At 35.7% G+C, this 12,925-nt stretch overlaps 1 protein-coding gene across 11 annotated transcripts in view; it reads right to left on the bottom strand.

The window, feature by feature from the left end:
• Positions 1–12,925, bottom strand: part of SEPTIN7 (septin 7) — a 114,778-nt gene that overhangs the window by 76,498 nt on the left and 25,355 nt on the right. For 4 of the 11 annotated variants that reach the window (XM_011515661.3, XM_011515656.3, XM_006715806.4 and 1 more), the window contains exons 2-3: positions 7,770–7,774; positions 6,366–6,468 (exon numbers count right to left, since the gene is read on the bottom strand). The exons of 1 other annotated variant lie outside the window; for it this stretch is intronic. In XM_011515661.3, coding sequence (XP_011513963.1) covers positions 6,366–6,468; positions 7,770–7,774 — 108 coding nt within the window. Of the gene's footprint in view, positions 1–608; positions 704–6,365; positions 6,469–7,231; positions 7,775–12,925 lie in introns of those variants that run through there. 6 more of the 11 variants (XM_047421095.1, XM_047421097.1, NM_001375299.1 and 3 more) reach the window with 4 other exon arrangements.

Raw genomic sequence — 12,925 nt, 5'->3', positions numbered from 1 at the left:
CTCTTGCTGCTAAGTCTTTATTTTCCTTTTTTTCTCTTTTTAGTATTTCCTAACTGTCATGTAATTCAGGAATTAGCATGAAAAAATATCCTTTTCAAAAAGGCAGGTCCTCCTTGATGACTCCAAATAAGTCTCACCATGTTTATTTCTTTCTAGAAAATAGCAGTTTGTAATCATTTGACTTACTGTTTGCCTATCTCCCTAAATTAACATAAACTCTGGTAATCTTCCTACATAAATCAACAACATAATTGCTGGAAATTTATAACTCCAAGAATGTAGTATTTATATAGGAAGACCAATGAACTAAACCAAAGGGTAAGAAAGAAAACAAACCAAGCATATACACTTTTAAAAATTAAGCTTGTAACAAACGGTTTTGGTAGGGCTACTCAACCATTTAAAAAATAAACATCAGATTCCTGCCTCACAACTTAGATCAAAAAACCATACGGATTTAAGATTTCAAAATAAAAAATTAGTCTTTAATTAGTCATTTAGTCTTTATATTTAATATGTAGTAAAACTTCTAATAACCTTGAATCAAGCAAGAAGACATTAAGTAAACCACAAAGAAAAAGACTGAGGTCGGGCATAATGGCTCACACCTGTAATCCTAGCACTTTGGGAGGCCAAGGCGGATGGATCGCTTGAGCCCAGGAGTTCAAGATTAGCCACGGGCAACATGGTGAAACATCACCTCTACAAAAAAAATACAAAAACAAAAAATTAGCTGGGCACGGTGGCACACAATTGTAGTCCCAGCTACTTGGGAGGCTGAGGGGAGAGGATGACTTGAACCCAGGAGGCAGAGACTGCAGTGAGCCAAGAGTGTGACACTACACTCCAGCCTGGGTGACAAAGCAAGACCCTGTAGGGAGGGAGGGAGGGAGGGAGGGAGGAGGGAGGGAGGGAGGGAGGGAGGGAGGGAGGGAGGGAGGGAGGGAGGGAGGGAGGGAGGGAAGGAAGGAAGGAAGGAAGGAAGGAAGGAAGGAAGGAAGGAAGGAAGGAAGGAAGGAAGGAAGGAAGTTTGGATAATATAAAAATCAAGCTAATAGAAAACACAACACACAAAAAATTCTGGAAAAAAATGTCAATGCCTACCAACAACAAAATAATAATAATGCCCTCAGAGTACCTACCTACCTAAACTTAAGAAAAAAAAAGTTTTTAAAAATAAACTGGAACACACCATTTATAAAAGAATATCAAAGATAAATAAACAATAACTTGCGACGGCCAGGTGTGGTGGCTCACACCTGTAATCCCAGTACTTTGGGAGGCCGAGGCAAGTGGATCACCTGAGGTCAATATAGGTGTTCAAGACCAGCCTGGCCAACATGGTGAAACCCTATCTCTACTAAAAATACACAATTAGCTGGGGGTGGTGGTGCACACCTGTAGTCCCAGGGAGGCTGAAGCAGGAGAACTGCCTGAACCTGGGAGGTGGAGGTTGCAGTGGACCAACACTGCACCACTGCACTCCAGCCTGGACAACAGAGCAAGACTCCATCTCAAAAAATAAATAAATAAAATAACTAGCAACAATAAAATACAGATGAAAATAAGATACCACGTTTTAGGAATCAGATTAATATCCAATGTTGGCAGTATTCAGGAAAAACAGTGCTGTCAACACTTGATGAGCATACAAAATGGTACACAACTTGTTTTAGAGCAATTTGGTATTATGTATCAAAACCCTTAAATCAATGCATCAATCTTAACAGCAATTCAAACTTCCAAAGCTTTATTATTCTAAGAAAATAAATAAAAATTGAAGCAAAGGTATAACTATAACGATGTTATTATAGTATTAATACTAGCTAGCAATTTTAACTATCCTGACAATATGACCAAGAATGATATATCTAACCTATACAGGCCATTAAAGTCTACAATTTGACCAATAGATAGGTTATGAAAGAACGTACGATATCACAAGATAATCACAATTTAACTACACATTTAAAAGGCAATCATAGAACATTACAGATACACATAAGAATACTAAATGTTCCTATACTTAAGAGTTATTATCAATAGGTGACAGATGACAATATTTATTTTCGTTTTGCTTTTCTGCATTTCCCAATTTCTGCAATGAAATATATTAACTTTATTTTTTAAGTGCTTTAAAGAATATTCAGATTTAACAGCTAGAAGGAATGTACAAAATTAAAATAGTGGACATGTGGAATTATGTGATTTTTTTCTTCTAAACTTTCTTTTTGAATTACTTTTTCTAAGATAAAATTCACCATTTTAAAGTGTATAATTCAATGGTTTTTAGTATATCCCCAATGTTGTGAAGTCATTATCAGTTAAGTTACTTCTATTAATAAAAGCAAAATAAAAATACAGAGCTCAAGGAAAAATCTTAAAATCATAACTCAAAACATTTCACGGAATTAACATATCTTAAAAATACCACAAAATGCTCAACAGCCTAGATACAAAATTTTGAGCCAATATTATCTTTCAATTTTTTCAAATAACCTGATAAACTGATATAGATGTTATTTTATCAATTCAAACATCAACAGGCAGTGGAGGAAAATGACAACTAGGATAGTCATCGTATATCCTATCACTAACTAAGTAACTCCTAAACTTTCTCTGATAAGGCATATACCAAAAAAAAATTAGGATAAACTCTGAATCCCAAAAAATGGCCAAACCAACATATTCTAAGCTCTCTCCCACTGGAAAAAAAAATAGAAGTGCCAATCTGCCACTAAACACATGTGGCATAGGTCAAATACATTATTGACATATCATTAAATGTTTAAAATTCTGTTATCACAAAAATTTTGCAAAGTTCAAGATTACAGAAATGACTGAATTTTGGATTCTATCTTCCTAGGATTCAGAATAATAGGTTTAATACTACCTGTTTTAAAAACTATTTCAAGTTAAATAAAGCAAACTACAGTTTTCTGAGTTCTGCCTCCTTGAAGAATTCTAGTAAAAACAGGATATTACAATTAAAAATTTATTCTCTATCACAGTTAAGTCTAATTAGGGAGCACACTAATGATAGTCAAGTTCCAAGCCAAACAGGTTAGACAACTTCACTGAATAGAGATCTACATGTCTTCATTATTTGATATGCCTAAATTTTTAAAGATTCAAAATCAAGAATTCTAATCTCCCCATCAAATTGTCAATCAGGGTCTCCAAAATCCTGGCTAGTCTACCTTTCCAGCTTAATTTTAATTGTAAAGTTACACCTTAGGGGTCAGATCCTAAAGTCAGTGTGCTGTGAAAAAAATCTTGAAAAATTCCTTATATCATCCATAAAGCACAATTACATACAAGCTAACAACCTATCTTCCTCCTCCACTAAAATAGGTAACTGTTTCTTTGAACACATAAAAAGTGACCAATTTGTACTTAGGTGCCCTGTTGTCCCTAGACTATAACATTCAGCAAAGTGAGGAGTTCACACTATCAAACTATGTGGAAGCTAATAATGACTAGGAGAATAGCAAATGCACCTCTCCCACTTCACACCCACTCTAGGCCAGATGCTCATTCCAGTGGAATAACAGGAAAAATTACTTGTACTATTTAAGTTCTCTAGTTCTCATTCTCATTCATTCTCTCTTTCACTGAATTCATCTAAGTTCAAGGCATATTGGATGTACTCTTATAAACACTGCACTATACCCAGTATCCCCAGATTAGCCTCTGCATGGTGGTTAAGAACATCCCAGACTAACTGAGCAGTAGACTGGGTTTGGTTCTGCCATCTCCTAGCAATGTAACCATGGGCAAGTAACCTAATCTCGCTATGCCTCAGTTTCTTCAGCTCCAAAATGGGATAACAATACCTACTTCATAGGGCTGTTGTAAGAATCGTAAGTTAGCAGATAATGCCCATAAAGTACTGAAAACATTACCTGGCACATAAAAAAGTTATGTAAATGATGGCTATTATTTCCGCCAACAGGACTGCTCCTTCAATCTTGGCCCCAATTCTATCCTTCAAAAATTTGTCCTAATGCCTCCCTTTTCAAAAGAAGGCAATAATAATCTCCAACTGAGGCAAACTGTCCTATACCCTTAAACTTCTATGGCTCTTAACTTTTGTATGATTCTACTGACTCATATTTCTATGTGGTTTATCTTGTCATATAAATCAGAAGCTCCTTTAAGACAGAAAATATGGGAATACACAGCATGCTTCTTTGATACAAATAAGTCACTCAAGCAAGTACTCAATAAACATTGCTTATGAAGCAAGATTATTAAAGGTTTTCCAACAAAGTACAAAGAGTTTAATAAAAAAAAAATCTGTTACAGATTCTCAGTTGATATCAATGTGTAAGTTGTAAATGAACTGTCGTAATGTGGGAGCCAAATTTATTCTGAGTTTAGATCCCAAAAATGAGGATTTAGCTCATAAGGAATAGCTGAAAGTTTTTAAGTCAAGAATATTAAAGCAAGGTTGGTTTCAGCTTTCTATGATTTGCAAATGATGCTGTTAGAGTCAGCCTAAAATCTGAAAAATAAATCAACATATTAGATACTAAGTGATTAGATACTTAGTAAGTGACTATGTATAAGGCACTACACCTATATAGATGAAAATATTTAATACCTGCACTCAATATATCTATTCAAATGTAGTTAATTAAACAATGTTCAAGGCTCAGTGGGAAAACAGAATAAGGATATTAACACTTGAAAGTAAGGATATTAACACCTATTTTTCTTTGGCCTCAGTTGAAGTCTTATCATTAGGAAGAGAAAAAAGAAAAGCTGCATTTCACAAAGGGATTAATTAGAAAAGCTAATAAGTAATATACATCTAGAGACTGAATATTTCCTCTAAAAATCAAAATCAGATGATTATTTGATTTTTTTCATTTGGAAAAATGCCACAGAGATTTTAAATCAACTCTCTGGCCTTGATCACCAGACATTATCCTACTAAGTATAGTTTAAAAAGTAATTCTTTAAACAAAAATTCTAAAGTCAAAGGAAATTTTTTTAATTGTTACAGTTCTCCTAATGGACCTAGGAGGTTTTCCCGTAAGTGAAAAAATTGTATTTGTCTACAGTTTGTCACTTGAGATTATTAATATTACATATGTAAAGGTAAGATACAGTGTTTCTTCATATAATGATGATGTTACCAACCTACCGAAGAAAAGGTATGCTCTGCATTATTTTATCCCTCTATCTAGACCCATCTCTACTCCACAGCAGCAGTTTGCAAGCTAGATATACCATACTTCTACTCAACAAGAGATACATAGACAAGGTAACCAATGCTATAAAGTATCAAATTTGCATATTCTGTACCTGTTTTAACTGTGAACTCTGACGATGTATACAACTTCCAAAGAGCCAAAAACTGACCAACAGGTAAAATATTGCAGTCAGTAGATAAAATATTCTACCTCCCAATAAAGGAGTATTTCACAGCTAGTTCAATTAACCTAATTCAGCACCAAAATAAAAATACTAGATGTTGAAACATAGTTAACAAAAATGTATACTACCTAAAAAGTCAAGCATCAACTCAACTTTCTTTGTTAAGGATAGCTAATCCACTACCCTGCAATTCACCTTCTTAAATAACAGAAATACAACAAAGTTACACTATACAATATTCGTAACTTAGGTTCTAAAGTCAGCCTATATGAGGTGAAAATACTGTATAGTCATTTAAGAGTAAGACTGTTATTGAAGATAACTAATCTTATAGATGGGAAAGACACAGTGTGTTTCTTCATATTTAATAATGATGCTACCAACCTACAGTCAAAATTATCCTTAACAGTATTTTCAAATGGACTATAGGCAGGGTAATGTGTTCATGGAATAACACACAAAAGAAAACTCAGACTGAATTAGAGAACCAGGAGAGTCATATTTTACTCATTCCAGTGCTTACATTCAATTAATGAATTCCAAGGGTAATCAACTACATTATTATGATCCTCTATCCTACCTTTCTTTTCAAAATTCAGAGCACATTAAGTTAAATGCTTATATGATACTCCACTATAGCATATAAGCCAGAAAACAAAACTATCCTGGAGTAGTAAGTAACCACCAGATGCTATTTTCTTTTGTAGCACTATGAATTGAAGATAACTTCTCTAGAGTTCCACTCCAACACTATCACCCACCATTTCTCAACTTGTAGTTTCTACCTTAAAATAAGAGGCAAGACATAAATCCCATTATGCCACTGAGTTAAATTTTAAAATGTATGCACATAAGAGAAAATACAACAAAGATATGATCACTGTAGATATCTGTGCCAGTGTTTTCTTAAATCTATTCAGAGTTGACTAACGTTTAAAACTTAAACCAAAGTTCCATTTTAGTAAGAAATCATATCTTACCCACTACCATAAGCGTGAATTCAAAACCTCTCTTCACCGATTTTCTGTATACTTGATTTGGGAGATTGGCAAATCCCACATAGCCTTCAAGGTTCTTCTGTTGCTGACAAAAGCAAAAAGGGCCAAGTTATTCATGTATCAACAGTACTATTCAATCACACTTTCAAATTCCCTTCATTAACCTATTTTAGAAAATTATACTATTATTCACAGCAAATCAAACTACTTTCATGGCATTATCAATAAAACTATCAATTCTTAAATGGACAAAATTATTTGAGCATGAGTTGACTGACAATATAATGGTTAATTATAAAAATCCAAGGGAATGAAATAAAAATTTAGAAAACCTGCCTCAGAGCAAAGATTTCAATTGACAGTAGTTAGTAACAAGATGATTGACCAACCAACTAAAAAAGCAAAATAACAAAGGATTCTTCACAATAAAAAAATTCAAATCCCCTTCATATCATATTAAGAATCCTTTTTAATTATCTCCTTTGATCACACTGACTAATTATACCACAGGCATGAGATTCTTGAAATTTGTCTTCTTATTCATGAAATGAAATCAAAATGTTGAATTTAAAGCAATTTTAAAAAATAAACTCTTGAAGGCTCTTGTGATCAGTGTCAACCAGCTACAGTATCATTCAAGCTGTTATGCCAGGTCCAATTTTGTCACTTCAAGGTTTCACATGATCCTACTGCCTTTATCTTCAGGTTTATCCAGGTTTTAAAGTAACTTATAACTTCATTTTCTATTGGTTTTTTATTCCTAGATGACCTCAACAATAGTTTCGTGAGTAACTGAAAGAAATCTACTTCCAAATTGGTGTAGTAAATAAGTCTGACTTCTAACTTACCCATGGGTGAGAAATGCTGTCCGTAGTTAAGACTATTTGAATAAGCAGAGTCTCATTGGTTAATTTTACTTTGGAGGCAGTCTTATCTCAACATTAAAAAATAGCAAAAAGAGGCACACATTCTCTTAAAAGTTTCTGCCACATTTAAATTCTCATTTAAAAAGCAATCATGGGATCAAAACATCAATTCAATACATTTGGATTTAACAAAGAACAGAAGTCTACAATGTTTACTAGTCATGTAGCTAAATATTCCATCCATAATCTTTGGCTCTTTTGTTCATTTCATAAAACTAATTCTTAAGCCAAATTTTAAAAACGAAGCCCATTAAAATGAAAAGCTAACTATAAACATAATAATTAGGAGACTAATCAGAATCTAACATTTTTAAGTCAAATATTTGAAAGTCTGCTATGAGTGGAGTTAGAAATATGCATTAAACCTAAGGTTTCCTTGGCTCATATTTCATCCAACTATAAATTAAATTTAAGTTAACTGAGACTGAAAAAAACTCTATAAATTATGTAGTATACTCACAGCTACTTTGTAAAGAACACATTTCCATCATTCCAGTGTTCCAGATTCCAACAGAAGAAATCCACAGAGGAACAGTAAACAAAGAATTCCAAGAATTGTAATGACATATTCAGTCCAAACAGGAGAGGCAAATCCATTGAAACACAGCAAGACAGAGGGGAAAAAAAAGTTACTTACATGTAACTCAACAAATTAGAGGTAAATTACAAAGAAATTAAAGGCAGACTTTTTTCTAAACATGTCAAAGTAATATATTTTTGTGTGGGATATAATGCCAGTGAGTTTAAACCCATTTTCAGCAACTGTCCTGCTGAAATATAGAAAATAAGGCCCATTATTGCACCCTGCAGTTGAGGTTTTACAGAAATGGTAGAAAAGATACAAAAGTATAAAGATCCAGGAAGGTATACAGGAACCAAGTTTTAAATTACAAGAAGAAAAAAAATGTAAATTTCATGCAATTTTGCTTTGTCAGTCACTGGATTAAGACAGCTCAGATCAGACAAATGCAAATGTTTTGGTTAAAACCTTTTTATACAATGCTGTATTTCAAGTTCTATTAATTAAACTGAAGTCCAGAATTTAAAGAAATGTAGACATTTAGATACAGGAAAAGGAAGGAAGCTAAAGATGATAAGCAGAAACAGATGGAAAGAGGAGACATATGTGAACTGTGAAAACTAAAAGGCAACTAATGAAGCACAGAAAATAAAATAGATAATCCTTGGCCAAACTGTGAAAAGTGTGCATTTTTATACTGATACAAATCTATGAGTTATATCACAACCCACTTCAAACAACTGGAGTCCGTTTTATAGTTAAGGTAATTAAATGTAATAAACAAAACCCCAGTTTTAAAGTTAATTACAAAATTATTCCATGACAAAATCATCCAATGACTTCCGAACTTCCTCAAAAGTAAAAGCCGAAGTCCCAATGATGGCCTACAGTGTTTCTCTACCTTAGCAGCATCTTAGAATCACTTGGGGGAGCTTTTATAAAATCCTAATGTCTCAGCTGCACCTCCAGATCAATTACATTAATCTCTGCAAGCGAAACCCATCCATCAGTATTTTTTAAAGCTCCTCAAGTAGTTCCAATGTGTACCAATGAAAGCCACTAGCCAACAAAGCCTAGCAAGATCTGGCTCTACTCTTACTTCTGGCCTCATCTCCTGCTACACTTCCTCCCCTTGCTCACTTCACTTTCCCCAACACTGAATCCCTAACTACCCCCCAAACATACAGTGCATACTATCACTTCATGGCTTTTGCACTTGTTGCTTTTTTTATTTGGAATAGTTTTTTTTTTTTTGAGACAGAATTTCACTGTGTTGCCCAGGCTGGGGGGCAGTGGCGCGATCTCGGCTCACTGCAACCTCTTTCCGAGGTTCAAGCAATTCCCTGCCTCAGCCTCCCAAGTAGCTGGGATTACAGGCATGTGCCACCACACCCGGCTAATTTTTGTATTTTTAGTAGAGATGGGGTTTCACCATCTTGGCCAGGCTGGTCTTGAACTCCTGACCTCATGATCCACCCGCCTTGGCCTCCCAAAGTGCTGGGATTACAGGCGTAAGCCACCGAGCCCAGCCACAGATTATTTTTATTACTCAAATGTCACCTTCAAAAAGGCCTGCCCTAATCACCTTATTTAAAATTACGACCCCACTCCTCACCTTAGCACTTTGCTGCCTGCTGTATGCTTCTTCTTAGCTCTTGCCATTATCCAACACACATTTTACCCAACTTGTTTACTGTGACCTCCACCCTGCCCGCAATGTAAGCTCCATCAACGCAGAGATTGAATGAATTACATAAATGGTACATCAAAAAAGGAAGCTACTGAGAGCAAGTTGCACCAGTAGTTTCAAAGAATACAGTATTTTAGACTGCACCTTGAAGGAACTCATCAGATAAGAGGTATAACAAAAATGACTCAGGGTCTGCCCTTGTCTCTTATTCACTGCTTTATCCTTAGCAACAAGAACAGTCTTTGGCACACAGTATTATTTTAAAATTGTGGAAAGCGGGAAACCATTCCAGGCAAAGGGGTAGGCCCTAAAGTGGGGATGAACTTGGTATTTCCAAGAGTAAAAAGAAAGCCGAGACAGGTGGATTGCCTGAGGTCAGGAGTTTGAGACCAGCCTGGGCAACATGGTGAAACCCCGTCTCTACTAAAAAATACAAAAAATTAGCCGGGACTGACAATGTGTGCCTGTAATCCCAGCCATTCGGGAGGCTGAGGCAGGAGAATGGCCTGAACCTGCCTAGGGGGTGGAAGCTGCAGTGAGCCGAGATCGTGCCATTGCACTCCTGCCTGGATGACAGAGCGAGACTCCGTCTCCAAAAAAAAAAAAAAAAAAAAAAAAGAAGGTCCATGAACTATAATGAAGTGAAGTAGTGGACAAGGGGATGAGTGATAGGAAATGAGGTCAGGGAGGCAAGCAGGGGCCTGATCATTTGGGACTCAGCCAAAGTAGGAAGTATATGGATGTTATTTTAGGCATGATAGGAAGACACTAGAGAGTTTTTCATAGGCAAGTGACCTGATTACTGTTTTAAAGATAGCTCTCAGCCATCCAGAGCGGTTCATGCTTGTAATTCCAAACTTTGGGAGGCCAAGGCGAGAGGATTGCTTTAGCCCAGGAGGTTGAGGCTTCAGTGAGCTGTGATCATGCCACTACACTCCAGCCTGGACAACAGAGTGAGAAATTTCATGGTTGGTTGGTGCTGAAAATATAGATTTAGGAATCATCGCCATGCAGATACTATTGAAACAGGATTGGATTCCCAAAGACAGACTATAGATAAACAGGAGGTCGGCAGGGCACGGTGGCTCATGCCTGTAATCCTAGCACTTTGGGAGACCAAGGCGGGTGGATCACAAGGTCAGGAGATCGAGAACATCTTGGCCAACATGGTGAAACCCCATCTCTACTAAAAATACAAAAATGGGCCGGACTTGGTGGCATGTGCCTGTAGCAGTCCCAGCTACTTGGGATGCTGAGGCACAAGAATCGCTTGAACCTGGGAGGCAGAGGTTGCAGTGAGCTGAGATCGTGCCACTGCACTCCAGCCTGGGCAACAAGAGAGAAACTCCAGTCTCAAAAAAAAGAAGAAGGGGGTCGAGGCAAAGCCCTGGAGCAGAGAAAGATCAGTCAGTGGAGACAGGAAGAAAACCAAGATCATCTCAGGGATGGAGGATTCACTTAACTATGCTGAATGCTACAGAGAAAGATACCATTACAGAAACAGACATACTGATAAAATTTGGAAATAAGGTCACTGGTAACTTAAAAAATAAGAGCAGTCTCAGTAACATGGTGACAAAGAAGAGTAACTAGGATGATTTACAGTAGACAATTATTTGCATGTAATTATTATAATAAATATTTTTTAAAATAAAATTATTTTAAACATTTTGTCAGTTCCCCCATATGACTGATTTCCCAGAGGGAGAGAACCATGTCATATTCATCTCTATGTTCTTAGCAAAGTGCTGACACACAGTAGATATTTTAAAAATCTGAATGACTACTCTTTCAGGAAAACATCTTCTGAGGAAGAAACTCTGTACAAAGATAAAACATGGGTTTGGCTAAAAACATATCATCCCAAAATTCGTATAGAAGTGTCCTATCAGATACAAAAATATGGCTCTGAAGCTACCTAGCACAAATACTATTTAGAAAATATACTAATAATTTGGCCAGGCATAATGGCTCCAGCCTGTAATCCTAGCATTTTGGGAGACCGAGGCAGGCAGGTCTCTTGAAGTCAGGAGTTCGAGACCTGCCTGGCCAACATGGTGAAACCCTGTCTCTACTAAAAATACATAAATTAGCTGGGCATAGTGGCGCACACCTGTAGTCCCAGCTACTCTGGAGGCTGAGGCAGGAGAATCACTTGAACCTGGGAGGCAAAGGTTGCAGTGAGTGGAGATCGCGCCACTGCACTCCAACCTGGATGACAGAGCAAGACTCTGTCTCAAAAAAAATAAAAAATTTAATACTGGTCGATTAAAACATATAGACTTGTCATATCTCATAAGAATTTTTCCATACCCTAAATTCTAAAATCAACCATAGTCTGTAATTCAAAAGACTTAACCACCCACTGATTCTTTTCCTGCACAAATGTTCACAGTGCCAGTGTGAAATATCTCGGGATAAGGAACATTATTTATAGATGTGAGTGATACAATTGTGGCATTTATAAGTATGTATAAATAAAAGCATATTCACCCAAGCTTCTACAAAAATACCCCTAGGTCTTTAAAGTATTCCTTGATTTCAAACATTAGTCATTTAAGAAGAAACATTTATCAAATAATCTTTTCTAAAAGCGTATCTGCTAGATATGCTTTACAAAATCTTTTAGATGTTAAATCTGTATGTTAAAAGCATAGTTAAGAAAAATCAAACTACGGTAACTCCACTGTTTGATGGAAAAATCAACTTAAATACAATATCCGGTAACTTAGTTCTAACCTTCCTTCTAAGGTTACATTAGTTCAGCACAAATATATTCAAGTAACAGCACGCTTCAAACAAGTTCTAATAGATAGATTACTGAAATTCTTTAAGAATTCTTTACGTTCTCTTGCCATTTGTTCCTATTCCAAAGTTACCCAAATCTTGCTATCTAAAATGCCATTACCATTTTTAAAACTCTGAATACTAATTTTCAACAAATTTTCCAGTAGATAAAAATTTTCCAATAGGAAAAAGCAGCAACTTATTTTGAAAACTATTAAATATGCTTTTTAGTAACAAAAAATTGATCAAGGGGAGTTTGTAACAGAATGGATGCCTAATAAAAATCAGAATTTGAGAAAAACAACCCTAGAAGGAACTACAAACCTTCAACTTCCCAATATCATTACAAAATGAGATGTTTAATAAAAAACTAAAATGACTAGGGATTATAATGCGCACCTCAAATTACCTTAACACACCCAAATTCTATTTGCAGTTTAAACATCAAGCTACAAAAATCCAAGGTTTACATTAGTAACTTTGTATTTCAAAAATAGCCATTGATCTTTTCTAAATAACTCCAATCTGCCTCCCTTTGGATTTTAAAAAATATATATATATATAAATATACATATATATAGCATATTGTTTTACACACTGACGAAGTATGTTTCTCCTA

This window comes from Homo sapiens, chromosome 7 (assembly GCF_000001405.40).
Source record: "Homo sapiens chromosome 7, GRCh38.p14 Primary Assembly".
Taxonomy (NCBI): domain Eukaryota; kingdom Metazoa; phylum Chordata; class Mammalia; order Primates; family Hominidae; genus Homo; species Homo sapiens.
This window is presented reverse-complemented; position numbering and strand designations above follow the sequence as displayed.